The sequence below is a fragment of the Homo sapiens genome, chromosome 7 (genome assembly GCF_000001405.40).
Source record: "Homo sapiens chromosome 7, GRCh38.p14 Primary Assembly".
Classification (NCBI taxonomy): Eukaryota; Metazoa; Chordata; class Mammalia; order Primates; family Hominidae; genus Homo; species Homo sapiens.
Window position 1 is genome coordinate 2,811,000 of NC_000007.14, and position 15,371 is coordinate 2,826,370.

The following is a 15,371-nucleotide window of genomic DNA, read 5'->3' on the forward strand; positions in this document are numbered from 1 at the left end:
GCAGCTCAGCCTTTGGAGATGGCAAGTCCCAAGAATCAGAAGAAACAGATGCTTCCTGAGTCGTCAAGTGAGGGGATTTCATCTCCCAGCAGCAAAAAGGAGATCAGAATTGGAAAGGAAATACAGACTACAAGGAACCCTGGCCCAGAGCCCCCAGGCTGTGCACACGTGGGCTCCAGGCGAACCATTTCAGGTTCAGGGAAGACGGCTCAGCCTAACCTGGGTGGGGCTGACTTCTGTGCACAACATCTACACCTGGCCCTCTGTGCACAACCAGAGCTCCCCGCTCCACCGATGCCCAGAGCACAGCGACTGTGCTGCAAGCGGGGTGACCTGGCTGATGACACCGCGGCTCACACAGAAGACAAAGGAGCAACAAAGCTGCCAGAACTCTAGTTTCCCAGCCTTGGCAGAGAAAGCCCAGAACAACCAGGGTGCTCACATGTTCCAGAGGTACAGGAGAATAAGTGTGCTGCTTCTTCTTACTCAGATAACTTTATGTCATGACCAATGAAGTAACTTTTATCAAATTTTTGCCAACTATATAGACTTCTTAAAAAATCATTTGAGAAGGGACCTCAAAGTGAAATCCATTTACCTGAAAGCACACGGCACAGATTTCGTAAGGTTGTAAAGAACGATTGCAAAACCAGAAGCGCTTCCCCTGACAGGCTCTGGTTAAACCCTAGCCGCCAATGCTGCCCAAGGGCTGCTGTCCAGTTTCACCCACAGCTGTGCTGGTCTCTGATGTTGCCATGTCTTCCCTGCGGCACGGACGCTGCTGAAACTGGTGCTCCCTTCAGAGGGGTTCTGCTGACAGCTGAAAAGACAGTCCGGCAGGCCACGCAGGACACCAGTGTCTACTTCTCAAAAAGCCCCTCCCTTAAGAGCCAAGTGAAAAGTCCCATGTCCCCGTCCATCTTATAAAACGAAAGGAAATCTGTTTTTTTCACGCACAGAGCAGCGCTTATTTGTTTCCCTAGAGAGGCAGCACCACAGCTTTCCCAGGGGCAGTGGGAAGGGGCTGTAAGTACTCAAGAGAACCCGCGTTTCACGCGACTCCTCTCCAAAAACCTGAAAAAACTCTCAAGAGAACTTGCGTTTCAGGCAACTCCTCACCAAAAACCTTAAAACCGGGCAAGTAAGTCCCTGTGTTACTAATTCCATGAAAAAAACTAATCTGTTTCAAGAAAGTCAGAATTCCTCCCTTAAGGACTCACATTTGCTTTTCTTCAGAATTATGGTAAATAACTCAATGTTTTTCTTGGCTTGCTTTTCCTTCTAAAGCTGCTAAGACACGGGCAGAGTCCTTAGGCCTTGGTGCTTTGCTAAAATCAGAGGCTTTGTAGGCTGGGTGCGGTGGCTCACGCCTGTAATCCCAGCACCTTTGGAGGCTGAGGCGGGCGGACCACTTGAGGTCAGGAGTTTGAGACCAGCCTGACCAACATGATTAAACCCCGTCTCTACTAAAAATACAAAATTAGCTGGGTGTGGTGGCGCATGCCTGTAGTCCTAGCTACTCAGGAGGCTGAGGTGGGAGAATCACTTAAACCCAGGAGGCAGAGGTTGCAGTGAGACAAGATTGTGCCACTGCATTCCAGCCTGGGCAACAAGAGTGAAACTCCATCTCAAAAATAACATCACATCACATCACATCACATCACATCACATCACATCACATCACATCACATCACATCAGGGGCTTTGTGCTCCTGTCAGTCACAGCCACCTTCTACGATGGTGCTTCACCAGGGCCACATGAAGGCACAGACGTTACATTTATAAAACTCAGCATCTGTCTAGATGCCTAGGAAACCCCACCTCTAATGAGAAAGTTGGTAAACAAAGCAGTTATTTGGCCCCTTTTTTGTTAGGTTTAAGGATAAAGGATAAACACATATATAAAATCAAAAGAATCCAGTGACCTTTACTTTTCAAACTTTAAAAAAAATTTTATGTTTAGAGACAGAGTCTCGCTCTGTCGCCCAGGCTGCTGTGCTGTGGTGCAATCATGGCTCATTGCAGCCTCAAACTCCCAGGCTCAGTCTCCTGAGTAGCTGGGAATTACCGGCATTCACCACCATACCCAGCTAATTTTATTTGTAGACACACAGTCTTGCTATGCTGCCCAGGCTGGTCTTGAACTCCTGGCCTCAAGTGATCCTCCTGCCTGGTATCCAGCAACCTTTAAAAGGTAATTGTTTCCCCTTCTATAACAAGAGGTTACAGTTTATATTTTCAAGCTCTAAGATGAAACAAAGTTTCAAACTATAAATATTTATGAGCTTTGAGGAAACCGGCTTTCTCCACAGTCATGTTTTCATTTAAATTATTTTAAAAAATAGATGACTCCATGCCCATAGTACCAATTTCACTGGTTATTAAGGGGCATCCAGGGGAGAGTCTCCTCCTACCTCCCCTTCCCCAGAGGGAACAGAAGTTCCCAGTCAGTGTAGCTTGCGTAAGGGGACATCACTGAGTGATGCCAGCACAGCGCTCCTTGCAGGAAGCCACCACAATATCTGCTATACCTCCAGAGGGAGAGGCTGGGGACATTCCGGGAGAGCTCTCAGGTGGGGAAAAAAAAACAAACAAACATGCTGGATGGTGAGCAAACCAATCTGTGAAGGAAATGAAAATGGAAATGGAGGCAATCGCCCCATGTGAGCTGTCAGAGTGCAGCTGGAGGAGCAGGAAACAGCGTATTCGTTAGGAGATCTGGGAATCTGGGGCCACGCCTAAGTCTGCCCATCTGCAAAGACCCCTTGTCCAGAAGGTGTGGACCACGGAGATTGTGATGTTAATTTCACTGAACTGGGCCACAGGGTGCCTGATGCAACACCGTTCCTGGGCGTGTCTGTGAGGGTGCTCGAGATGACATTAGGATTAGGACAGTGGGTTCAGGAAGGTGGACTGCCCTCCCCAAGTGGCTGGGCACCTTCCAATCCCTCAAGACCCTGAATAGATCAGACGGCAGAGGGAGGAGGAGTTCACCCCTCATTTCCTGCCTCGCCGCCGGAGCTTGGACATCTCATCCTCTCTTGCCCTGGGACTGGATGTCCACCATCGGCTGCCCAGGTTCTCAGGCCTTCGGACATGAGCTGAGTTTGAATCACGCCTCGGGCTTCCCTGGGTCTCTAGCTTGCCACACAGAACATGGGACTTCTCAGCTCCCAGAATCACGTGAGTGAAATTCTCCATCATAAATCTCCTTTTATACATCTATGTATCCTGTTGGCTGTGCTTCTTTGGAGAATCCTGACTGAGATCAGGGAGATCTGTGGCCGAGGAGTTGAACGGAGTGAGACTCACCCTGGACCCAGGGTGTGCAATGAGTAGGTGCTCAAAACGGCAGCACTTTCGGTTTCCATCTGGTGTGCTTCCCGAACCCTGCAAGTCAACATTTAAGAATTCCTATAATCTGAATTAAAGACAATTAGAGACATCAGAATAAAGCCCTGCTCAAGCTTCTCCAAGCTCACAAATAAAATCAAAGACACAAACCAAGACTTTGAGGAAATTTCTTCTGCACCCATGAAGTCTTTACTGGGAAGGCCTTCTCAGTGCGGCCTTACTGGACCATCCTATTTAAAGCCGCAACTCCCACCAAAAAATTCCTTATTTCCTTTTCCTGCCTTTTTTTTTTTTTTTTCGTGGCATAGAATCTCAGAGCTGGAAGGAGCTCTAAAAGGCTGGACCAGTCACCGTCCAGATGTGAACTCCTTGCATATAACGGCCTTCCACAGAAGTTTATCAGCCTGTCCAACACACATCCTAGAAAGGGTTCCCTGACCTGCCCCGCACTGCTCCCAAGCACCCTTCCTGTGCTCCCGACAGCACCGGGTGTGCACTGCTCCCCTCCACAGCACTCACTCACACGACTGCCAGGCATCCTTGCTAGGCACGGCCTGGGAAACATTCTCCGTTTCATTTCAAATGCCTACAATACAGTAGGCGCTCTGCACTCGGCATGGCTGACAAGGACGTCACTGTATCCAGGTCTAATCTCGCCCCTTCCACCCAATCCAGTCCCCTGTCAAAGCCACCAAGCGCCGCCACTGTGGCAGGCTCCGAGGACACAACAGAGAACCAGACAGACAAGGCCTTGCCCGCATGAGGCTTCCAAGCTCACTGGAGAAGGAGCAATACAAAAAGCAAGTGGACAGGAACATCGGCGAGGTGCCTGCGGTCCGGCACTGTGAGTGTGCTCTCAAGGAGGAAGCCAGTCAGCGGACCTACAGTCAAGGAGGCTGCTTAAATGAGGGCTGTTGGGGAAGGCGGCTCAGGAGGAGGCATTTACAAGACCTTAAGGAGGGGCCGGCTGCGCAGCAGGGGCAGGAGGAGCTTTCCTGGTGGAAGGAATCTCACGCACGAAGACCCTGAGCTTCGCATTTTTGAAACACTAAAGAAAACATGAGGGAGGCTGGAGCGTGTAGGAGAGATGACTCAGCGCAGGTTGGAGTGCAGGGCTATATTGGCGGCCCAGGCTCCACACTGCAGGCAGCCATATGCCTCTGCCAACCACCCCAGGGCCAAGCACTGGACAACCAGGGACCACCCTGATAGCACAGAGGCTGGGGAAATTACTCAAACCAGCCAATCCTAAACCGCGGATGCTGCCTTGCCCATTTCTTTTCAGAAACCACAATCGAGGCTCTTGCCCACAAGTACCCCTCCGCCTCCTGACCCAGCGTGGTGCTCCCTGGAGCCTGGTGCTCCCCGTGTGGCCCCGTGTGCTGTGCCTCCTGTTTCTACAAATCTGTGAGCACAAGCTCCTTCCTCACAACAGTCCCGTCTGTGTCTTAGCACACCTGATGACGTCCAATCCCAGAGACATTTCCCATCACTCCTCTGCTCCTCTCCATCTACACAAACACTGAATTTTTCATTCATCTGAAAATAAGGGAGATAGTTTTTGAGTTCATTTAATAGCCTTGCTGAGACTTTCCATGAGAAGCAATGGTTGACAGCCCCTGGCAAAGCTGGGCCTGCGTGGAACTGACCCAGCAACTCTGCGTCTAAGTACACATCCCGGAGAGACCCTGGCCGCCGCGCACGGAGGCGTGGACACGGACACACAGTGCAGCACTGTTGGTCGCAGGGAAAACGGTAAACAACCTGAATACGCATTCACAGGGAACGGATCAGCAATTATGGTAAGTAATGTGACGGTGGAAAGAAGTAAACCAGATCTTCACGCACCCCCATGGACAGCACGCACATGTGCTGCTCACCAAATCCTTTTTTTTTGAGATAGTCTTGATCTCGCCGCCCAGGCTGGAGTGCAATGGCACGGTCTTGGCTCACTGCGACCACCACCTCCCTAGTTCAAGCGATTCTTCTGCCTCAGCCTCCCAAGTAGCTGGGATTACAGGTGCCTGCCACTATGCCCAGCTAATTTTTGTATTTTTTAGTAGAGATGGGTTTCACCATGTTGACCAGGCTGGTCTCAAACTCCTGACCTCAGGTGATCCACCTGTCTTGGCCTCCCAAAGTGCTGGGATTACAGGCGTGAGCCACTGCTCCCAGCCTAGCAAATCCATTTTTTAAATGATATATTCAAAATAATGCCATTTCCATAAATTCTTAAAAACAAGTAATATACATATTGATTATGGACTCAAAACATGTACAGAACACAAATTGAATAATTATCCAGCTCATGCCAGGGTTTCCTCGGTGGGAAGGGCAGTAGCAGCAGTGACAGTGAGAATGATATTGAAGCTAACATTCACTGAACACCTACTCTGTCCAGGCACAGGTCTAGCACACATTAACTCATTCAATTCTTAAGAGCGGCCAGGAGACATCCATGATTACTGTCCCCATTTCACAGATGAGAAAACTCAGGCTAGAGAAATGATCAGGAATGTGCAATGCACTCCGGTGACTTCTTACCGCCTCCTCTGCTCCCATCAAGTCAGTCTGGGTCTCTGCTGCTCTTCACTGATGCCCCTGCTCTCATTCTTGCCCACTTCCACCTCCTACCCCTGGAGGAGGTCTACACTCCCCACTTAACAAACAATGACCCTTTTAAAAACACAGTTGGGTCAGTTCAACTCTCTACTTAAACTTTCCAATGGCTTCCCATCATACTCCACTTTATTTTTATTTATTTATTTTTGAGACAGAGTCTCGCTCTATTGCCCAGGCTGTAGCGCAATGGCGCGACCTCGGCTCACCGCAACCTCCACCTCCAGGGTTCAAGCGATTCTCCTGTCTCAGCCTCCTGATAGCTGAAATTACAGGCACGCGCCACCATGCCCAGCTCATTTTTTGTATTTTTAGTAGAAACGGGGTTTCACCACATTGGCCAGGCTGGTCTCGAACTCCTGACTTCAGGTGATTCCTCCCACCCCTGCCTCGGCCTCCCAAAGTGCTGGGATTACAGGCATGAGCCACCACACCCGGCCCATACTCCACTTTAAATGAGAATCCTTACACAGCCTGCAAGACTGTATATCCTCCCTTACCCCAGCCACCCCATGTCCACCTGCTCTCTCGCCCTCACTCACTCTGCTCTGCCCACACCAGCCCCTCAGCTCTCTCTGTGGAGACATTATATATTTCTTCACTTACTCATTATTTGTCCCTAACCTGCCCATTACGCAGACAACATGGACTCTGACTTTTGGCCACTGCTGTTATTCCCAATGCTGAAAACAGCCCCTGGCACTCAGATGTTTGTGGAACAAATGAATGAATGCAGCTGATCCAAGGTCACTCAGGATTCTGGTCTAAGCAGTTTGGTTCCAGTATTAGGACTGGGGAGGAGAACGGAACATAGAAGAAACATCTAAAGTTATGACAAATGTTGTCATCTATTAATTGTGAATAAGGAATTCTTTGTTAATTATCATCTCCTCCTTCCATTCCTCCTTCCCTCCCTTTAGTTTTATTTTTAAGTCTCCATAAGTACACTACACATGAATTATTAGTTCCAAATGTATTAGAACACCTGCTTTCATAGTTAGGAAACTAAACAAAAAAAGAAGAAAAAGTACTAGCACACTGTAAGATTGCTCTTAATGTTTCAAGTGGGACTGTAGTTCACTATAACGTATTAAAATTAATTCAATGAACACGGAATGACTCCCTACACAGCTAACAGGCATGTCAGGGTTTTGTAGGTTCTGGGGGGAGTCATCATTAAGAACATCAATTATTTACATAATAGTGTAATTCTGCCATTAAAAAACTGGCCATCTGACATAGAACAAAGTTTGTTTACCACATCAGTACTGACATCTGGGGGCTGGGGAATTCTGTTTTGGAGCGCCTCACACACTGCAGGACAGTCAGCAGCATCTCCAACCATCAGATGCCGGCGGCACCCATCAGTGTCACAACCAAACACGCCTGCAGACGCTGCCAAATGTCCCCCTGGGGAGCATAGTCTCTCCAACGGAGAACCACTGATTAGAGGCTAGACAAACTACAGCTTGTAATAAAGAAAATACAACTTATAATAAAGAACAGGAAGCCTGGTGCGGTGGCTCATGCCTGTAATCCCAGCACTTTGGGAGGCCAAGGCACACAGATTGCCTGAGGTCAGGAGTTCGAGACCAGCCTGGGCAACATGGTGAAACCCCGACTCTAATAAAAATACAAACAATATTTGGGCATGGTGGCGTAGCCCTGTAGTCCCAGCTCCTCAAGTGGCTGAGGCATGAGAATTGCCTGAGCCCAGGAGGTGGAGGTTGCAGTGAGCCGAGATCGCGCCACTACACTCCAGCGTGGGTGACAGAGACCCTAACTTGAAAAAAAAAAAAAAAAGCAAAGGACAAACGAACAAGGGAGGGAGGCGACTCAAAGTGGCCTCTCCCACAGGTTTCGCTTGCCGTTTTCACTTACTCTCTCTGACCAGCCTCACAACCCTTTCATGGTCCCCTGTAACTAGAAGGCTGTAAGGCAGGCCACAAGCCCGTGGCACGGGCAGAATTCTAAAGATGGCCGGGGGTATTCATCAATTGGGAACCTAGGTGAAAGGTCTTTGCAGAGGTAATTAAGGCTACCAATCAGCTGAGCTTAAAATAGGGCGATTATTCTGGATTACCCTGCGAGCCTGATGGAGTCACCAGTCCTTACAAGCAGATGTGGAAGGTGGAAAAGTCTGGCAGGTTCCTTGTGAGCCGCTCGCTGCTGGTTCTGAGTTGCAGGGGCTGCAAGCAAGACTGGAGGGAGGCCTCCAGGAGCCGAGGGAGGTCAGAAAAGAAACCGGACCTCAGTCCTACAGCTGCAAGGACCTGAACCCTTGCCACAACCTGAATGAACTTGGATGCCGATGCATTCCCAGAGCCTCCAAAAAGGAACACAGTCCGGCTGGAACCTTCCTGTTAGTCTCATGACACTCAGGGCAACCAACTGAGCCACACTGTGCCCAGACCTCTGACCCAAGCAACTAGGAGCTAACAAATAAATGTTTTAAGTCCCGAAGCCTGTGGTAATTTGTTACAGTGGCAACAGAAAACCAAAACAGCTGTGGAGGTGTATGTGACTCATTACTGAAAGGTGAGTTTATAAGTGAGAAACACAATAACCAAAAGCAGTCCCCTTAAGAAATTCCCTAGTCTGCATAAAAGACAAATAATCCAAATTAAAAAAATGGGCAAAGGATCTGTATAGCCATATCTCCAAAGAAGATACGCAAATGGCCCATAAGCACATGAAAAGATGCTATACCTCATTCACCATCGAGGAAAGGCAAACCGAAAACGGGATGGCTGGAATTCAAAGGACAGATAAACACAAGCACGGTTAGACCCCAAAGACGTTATATTGGTGGGAACAGAAATGTTGCGGCCAATTCAGAAACACTCGGGTAGCTCGTCAAAATGTTAAACATAAAGCAACCATTTGACTCAGCAATTCCACTCCTAGGAATACACCCAAGAGAAAACATGTTCACACCAAAACCCGCACATGGATGTTTATAGCAACATCATTCATAACACACAAAAGATGGAAAGAACCTAGATGCCACTGACTGAGGCACGGATAAACAAAACGGGGCGTAGCAAAAGGGAATGCTATTCGGCCGCTTAGAGGGATGACGATGCCACGCTACAGCATGGATGAACTTTGAAGAAACGATGCTAAGAAGTCCGTCGCAGAAGACAACATACTGTATGATTCCATTTACATAAAATGTTCAGAAAAGGCAAATCAACAGCGTCGAGAGAAATCCACGGTGTCGAAAGTGGGCTGGTGGCCGCCCGGGGCTGGGGCTGGGGCAGGAGGAAAATGTGCAGTGGCTGCAGGGTTTCTTTCTGGGGTGATGAAAATGTTTTAAAAATTGACTGTGGTGATGGCTGCACAGCTCTGTAAATAGACTGAAGTCCACTGAATTGTAGGCTTTAAATGAGGGCATGGTATGATATGTGAGTTATAGCTCAATAAAGCTTTTTTTTTTTTTTTTTTAAGCTGAGGCCAGGCATGGTGGCTCATGCCTGTAATCCCAGCACTTTGGGAGGCTGAGGTGAGAGGATCGCTTGAAACTAGCCCAGGAGACATGCAAAACCTATCGCTACAAAAAAATAAAAAATAAAATTAAAAAAGCTAAAAAATTGAAAAAGAAAGTCCCAAGCGCTGTAAAGCACAGAGCACGGAAGTGACACACAGTGTGGCAGCTGCTTGTTGTCCAGACCTGCCCCACCGGCCAGTCACCAGCTCCTGACTCACTGACCACCCTGGCCTCTGCCCTGTAATCTTCCAAAGAGGAAACTCCAACTGTGTCTTTTAAAACTTTTTACTTTAGAGACAGGATCTCACTCTGTCACCCAGGCTGGAATGCAGTGGTGCAATCACAGCTCTCTGCAGCTTTCAAGCTCCTGGACTCAAGCCATCCTCTTGCCTCAGACTCCCATGTAGCTGGGATTACAGGCATGCACCACCATGGCCAGCTAATTTCTAAAAATTTCTGATAGAGATGGGATCTCACTATGTTGCTCAGGCTGGTCTTGAACTGCTGACTTCAAGAAACCTCCTGCCTTGGACTCCCAAAGTGCCAGGATTACAGGCGTGAGCCACCGCGCCCGGCCTACATCCATGTTTTCATCAACATGGACAAAACTCCACAGGAATCACTCCCATTTCACAAAAATGTTGTCTAGGTGAAAGATGCCAATCAATTATTCTCTGGTTAATGTTCTGCTTATTCTTGGCTTAAGAATTTTTGTGATGACGCTTAGATTACAGATGTTCTGCAAGACAGGCTGAGAAACAGAATCATTCCAATCACTCCTGCTGTATCCTGAGGGGAGACTCTCCGCCTGTTCAACACAGGGACACGCTGCCTCCCGTGGCAAGGTGACTGTCTTGCTGCTGACTCGGGCAAAAAGACCATGAGAATGAATTCACCAACCAGGGTTCCCTTCCCTCGTAAATACTGTGAGAAAATGGATGTCAGTCTCCAGCTGACCGCAGAGAAATCACGGCCAGGTGTTGGCACTTACAGAGAAGAATGAATACAGAACTGCTTTAATCATCCACTCAGGAAACTCCCCAATTGTATCAATGACTCTATATAAGGAAGCGAGGCTTGCAACTCCAAACGAACTCACTGGGTGGCCCCAAGCAAAACAATTCACCCCAAACGGTGTGCCCTATGGACAAGAGAAACTCCTGCAGTTATTCTATTTTCTCAGCTCCCTGCTCCTCGTTTTCCTCCACCTTAGCAAGACAGTGATGAACAATGCTAGGTAAGCTCTTTCCCTTCCTGTGGCAAGTCTAGTAGCAAAGGGCTAGTTGCCAGGAAACATGAGGTTACACCATATTCCTGCTTAGTGGAATCCTGACCTTCATGTTACTAAAACATGAAAAATACTTTGTTTACAAGATCATCAATATTAAAATTTGGCTTTCAAGTTCCCTAAGACCTTTTTCCTGTATTTATTACAAGAATTTATTTATGCATCCAACAAATACTCAAATGCCTACTATGTGCTGCCATGGTGCCAGGCCCTAGGGACACAGGGGAATCAGACCAGGCCCTCGCATGCCCGCCCAGGCTGACATTCCAGGATGTGATGACTAGAACTATGTAAAATGTGATATACACATCAACAAGGGTGATTCAGATTACCACCAACATTTCTTAACAAACCTAGCTAAAAAACGTTAGAATGTGCTTAGCCTTCCCATTCTCTTTTAACTTTTTATCTAAACCTACAAATTCTGAAGCTTCTGTGGGAAGCTATGCCTCCTCCGAGATGTTGTTCTTCGTACGTTTTCAACCATACAGCGGCAGCGACTGGAGTGGTTGTTTTGCATGTCAGGCTTCACTGGGCAATTTCTTCAGAATTCAGAGATCTACCTACTGGAACTAGCATCTGTAGACAGTCCAGTAACTAAGAGTGGTAGTTCTGAGTTAGGTGGGCCTGAGACCTGGCACACTCTTAACCTCCCCAATCTAAGACATATCTTATGGAAGTCCCCTTCTCAAACCCTGATAAAGATTGAAGGGCCAAGCGTGGTGGCTCTCGCCTGTAATCCCAGCACTTTGGGAGGCCAAGGTGGGAGGGCTGCTTGAGCCCAAGAGCGTGAGATCAGCCTCAATCAACAAAAAGAAAAAGGACTGCAAGCCCAGGGCAGGAGGACTGCTTGAGCCCAGGAGTTTGAGACCAGGCTGGGCAACATAGTGAGTCCTTGTTTCTACAGAAAAATTAGCCAGGCGTGGTGGTGCGTGCCTGTGGTCCCAGCTACACAGGAGGCTGAACTGAGAGGATCACTTGAGTCCAGAAAGTAAAGGCTGCAGCGAGCTATGATCGCCCCACTGCACTCCAGCCTGGGCGACAGAGTAAGACTCCGTTTCCAAAAGAAAAGAAAGATTTAAAGACAATGACTTGGAAAGGAGTTGAAGGAGATAAACACTCAACCCCCTCAGTCCCTAAGAGAGTCTGCTCAGCCCCCTCCTAGATGTGATAAAAAGGTGCTCCCTAGATTCACTATCAGTCCTCTGCCCATTCCCTGGCCTCCCATTACTGGAATTCAACATGGTTTAGGAGATTAAAGACACTGAGTCTTTCAGGGACATTACAGTTACCAACCACTCTGATGGCCTTGAAGAAAGTAACTTTAATTCTCAGTAACTATTTGTATATTATTTGTAACTAAAAACGTGGGGTCCGAGGCATCATCTATGGCAGGCTTTGTTGGAGGGCCTTTTCCAGGCTTCCTGGTGTAGTCCAGAGACGGCCCCATACCCTGAAGAACCCTTCTGTCTGCTTCATCCAGCATACACACAAACCCAAGGGACCCCGCCTTCCCCAGCTCTACAGAGACAAGAGGGAACTATTTATATAAAAAGGCTACTTATCTGACTGAAGGCTGATAGCAGTAAGGGCAAAAGCGTGTTCTGACACTCCAACTTCAACCGCAGCCCCAATTCAGGACTTTGACGGCATATGCAGGAGGAGTGCTTGGGGAAGGTAACAGGAACAGAGGGCATAAGGAAGAACAAATGAGAACCTTCAAGAATTAGACAATCATTCTTTGGTCTTTCAAGCATGCTAATAATAACCCTCTGCAGATTTAGAAAAATAAAACTGTTCGGGAAGAGGCCAGTCGTTGCTTAAAAGAATTAGAACAATTCGTTCAATAAGCACTTAGGAAGTGTCTGTTACAAGCTGGAATACAGGAAAAATAAAAATGCAATACTCAATGTCAAAGGATCTTTCATTCTAGTTGGCTAGGCAAGCTAAAAAAAAAATTAAAAATTAAAAAAGCATGTTGCAGACATAATAAAGCACAAACTACCTACTAATATCTATAAAACCCAATGCAAATGAGTAAACTTCATAGAATAAAGATCATGCAGTAAAATTACTTAGAGAAAGAAGCAATGTCTTTTCTAAGACTCTTTTTCCCATGAAAATAATGCGCATTCTAGAAAACAGAGATAAGGGCAATAAAAATAAATCCCCTTTAATTAGAGAGAAACGCTCATTACATGTTAGTGTCATTACCATATGCCACCACCATTCTTTTTGCTCACATTCAAAACATGGTTCCTAAAAGATAGTTGACTCCTTTTCCAGTTGAACAGATCACACCCATGTCTGCCTGTCTCAAAAATGGTATTTTCAACATCAACACTTTCACAACATTTCTAGGATCTGACCGCTTCCCAGCATCTCCACTCCTAACACGCTGGTCCCACAGATCAGGATGACAGCCTCTCACTGCCCCCACGTCCACCTGGTCTCCCTCAGTGAGGGTGGCCAGGGCAACCCCGTGAATGTCCAAGTCAGATCCTGCCACTCCTCTGCAGAAATCCTCAGGGACAAAGAGCCCCTCACACACAGAGTTAAGGCCCGCGTCTTCCCAGTGGCCTGCACCCGCCTCTGCCCATCCAGGGGTCTCCTCCCTCACTACACAGCCATCACACTGGCTCCTCTGGGTCTGCGGAGGCCTCTGCACTTGGGGTGCTCTCCCCATCACCTCTGCAGGCGGCTCCCTGCCACCCCTGACATGGACACGCTCTCGCCCTGCTTTCTCCTGCCCCCAGCACTTGTTGCTTTCTAACATTTCATAAGACGTGCCTGTTTACCCTGTGGATCGTCTGTTTCCCACACTAGAATGTAAGCTCTACATGGCAAGCATTTGTTTCCAATGATGTATCCCGGGCACTTGATATACAGAAGGTGCTCGATAAATATCAGCTGATTCACCGACTTATTAAAAGCTGTGTAGTGCCCATCACACACCACAGTTCAATCAGTCAGCCCCAACAGGTGGCGATTAGGTCATTCCAGGATTTTAACAATGCAAATCAAACCGCAATAAAAAAATCCCTGCTGCTCAAAGCGTAGCTGAGGGCCGGTGGCAGCACAGCCATCACCTAGGAGCTCACAGACCTCCCAGGCCTACTGAATAGAATCTGCATTTGAACAGCATGGCCAGGTGACCACAGGCACAGGAAGTCCAAGAACCACTTTCCGACTAAAGACAAGGGAGGAGGCCCCTCTCCCTCAGGCCCCGTGAGGGTGAGGTCTGCACCTGCGGGTGGACAGACACCTGGCTTGCCTCCTCCTAGATCTCGCTCTGGGTAGTACCCAAGACTCCATGACCATCTCTAAACATCAGACTGCCACCAAAAGACAGGTTACAACAATTTACATCCTAAATCCAGGCACCCAACAGGAAACAAGCAGGACACTCAAATTAGGAACTAATCACAAAGGTGTGGGGGAAGCCCGAGAAACAAGACAGAAGGAATCCTGGGGCGTGGGAGGGGAGAAGAAATACTGAACCTCACTCTCTCCCCTCCCTCCCTCCGAGCTCTTGCCAGGACTTCCCACTGGCCAACCAGAAGCCAGAAAGCACAACACTCGCTGCTACAATCTATACAGGTCACCCCAAGAGCAGAGAGCTGACAGAAGCAGGAGAGAGGGCGGGAAGGGGCGGACAGAAGCTTCCCAGCATGTGCGCCCCCAGCAGTGTATGAAGACGCTTTCCTCTTTTCCCTAAAGGGGTGTGTTTTCATTTCACATAATATGAAGACGCCATGAAGAAGATGTAAACTAGGGAAGGAGGTGCTGGAGAGAAGGGAGCTATCTCAGAGAGGAGGAGAAGTGCGTTTGTGCCATCATACAGCTACTGTGGTCATTTCTGGCTGAGAAGGTATCGAGCTGATGGGAGGCTGAGGGCCGCTATAGTTTTGTAAACAGGAAAGCAGCCTTATGAAAAATGCCTGAGAAAACGTGTGCTGGCGTTTGCGTCCAGGACACTGAAAGAAGGAGGATGCAGGACAGAGAAGCCAGGGAAACGGCTGTGGTGGGGCCGCAGACACAAAGCAGCTGCGGCAGCTGAAGAGAACAAGTCTTTAGAGTACGCTCATTCCAGCGTTCATCCCAGCATTCCCACCACCCAGGGGACAACCAGCACATAGAAAGACGCTCCACACCATATATCATTAGGGCACTGCTAATTAAAATACTGAGATGCCATTCCTCACCTCTTAGGGCGGCTAAAATCCAAAACAGACAATGCCACATGGTAGCCAGGAAGTGGAGCAACAGGAACTCTCATTCCCTGCTCTGGGAATGCAAACTCCGGAAGACAGTTGGGCAGTTTCTTACAAAACTAAACATACTCGGGCCGGGGGCGGTGGCTCACACCTGTAATCCTAGCACTTTGGGAGGCGCAGGCGGGCAGATCACGAGGTCAGGAGTTTGAAACCAGCCAGGCCAACATGGTGAAACTTTGTCTCTACTAAAAATACAAAAAATTAGCCAGGCTTGGTGGTGGATGCCTGTAATCCCAGCTACTTGGGAGGCTAAGACAGGAAAATCACTTGAACCTGGAAGCAGAGGTTGCAGTGAGCCGAGATCACGCCACTGTACTCCAGCCTGGGTGACAGAGTGAGACTC

General features: G+C 48.3%; 1 protein-coding gene across 3 annotated transcripts in view, besides 4 other annotated features; it reads right to left on the minus strand.

Moving 5' to 3' along the window:
* Nucleotides 1-15,371, minus strand: part of GNA12 (G protein subunit alpha 12) — a 116,204-nt gene that overhangs the window by 82,895 nt on the left and 17,938 nt on the right. Inside the window, exons 1-2 of one of the 3 annotated variants that reach the window (NM_001282441.2) lie at nucleotides 3,878-4,231; nucleotides 3,313-3,390 (exon numbers count right to left, since the gene is read on the minus strand). The exons of the other annotated variants lie outside the window; for them this stretch is intronic. Coding sequence (NP_001269370.1) covers nucleotides 3,313-3,390; nucleotides 3,878-3,931 — 132 coding nt within the window. The 5' untranslated portion in view covers nucleotides 3,932-4,231. Of the gene's footprint in view, nucleotides 1-3,312; nucleotides 3,391-3,877; nucleotides 4,232-15,371 lie in introns of those variants that run through there. 3 annotated transcript variants of the gene reach the window in all.
* Nucleotides 2,641-2,843: a silencer, noted in NCBI's record as "fragment chr7:2853274-2853476 (GRCh37/hg19 assembly coordinates)". NCBI's record gives its function as "represses an EF-1alpha promoter that drives an FKBP-Casp9 reporter gene in an ReSE screen in K562 erythroleukemia cells {active_cell/tissue: K562}" and the evidence as "EXISTENCE:reporter gene assay evidence [ECO:0000049][PMID:32094911]".
* Nucleotides 10,008-10,697: an enhancer, noted in NCBI's record as "OCT4-NANOG-H3K27ac hESC enhancer chr7:2860641-2861330 (GRCh37/hg19 assembly coordinates)". NCBI's record gives its function as "activates a minimal SCP1, AML or CMV promoter by ChIP-STARR-seq in naive and primed H9 embryonic stem cells {active_cell/tissue: H9 hESC(naive and primed)}" and the evidence as "EXISTENCE:reporter gene assay evidence [ECO:0000049][PMID:30033119]".
* Nucleotides 10,698-11,387: an enhancer, noted in NCBI's record as "OCT4-NANOG-H3K27ac-H3K4me1 hESC enhancer chr7:2861331-2862020 (GRCh37/hg19 assembly coordinates)". NCBI's record gives its function as "activates a minimal SCP1, AML or CMV promoter by ChIP-STARR-seq in naive H9 embryonic stem cells {active_cell/tissue: H9 hESC(naive)}" and the evidence as "EXISTENCE:reporter gene assay evidence [ECO:0000049][PMID:30033119]".
* Nucleotides 13,462-14,104: an enhancer, noted in NCBI's record as "NANOG-H3K27ac-H3K4me1 hESC enhancer chr7:2864095-2864737 (GRCh37/hg19 assembly coordinates)". NCBI's record gives its function as "activates a minimal SCP1, AML or CMV promoter by ChIP-STARR-seq in primed H9 embryonic stem cells {active_cell/tissue: H9 hESC(primed)}" and the evidence as "EXISTENCE:reporter gene assay evidence [ECO:0000049][PMID:30033119]".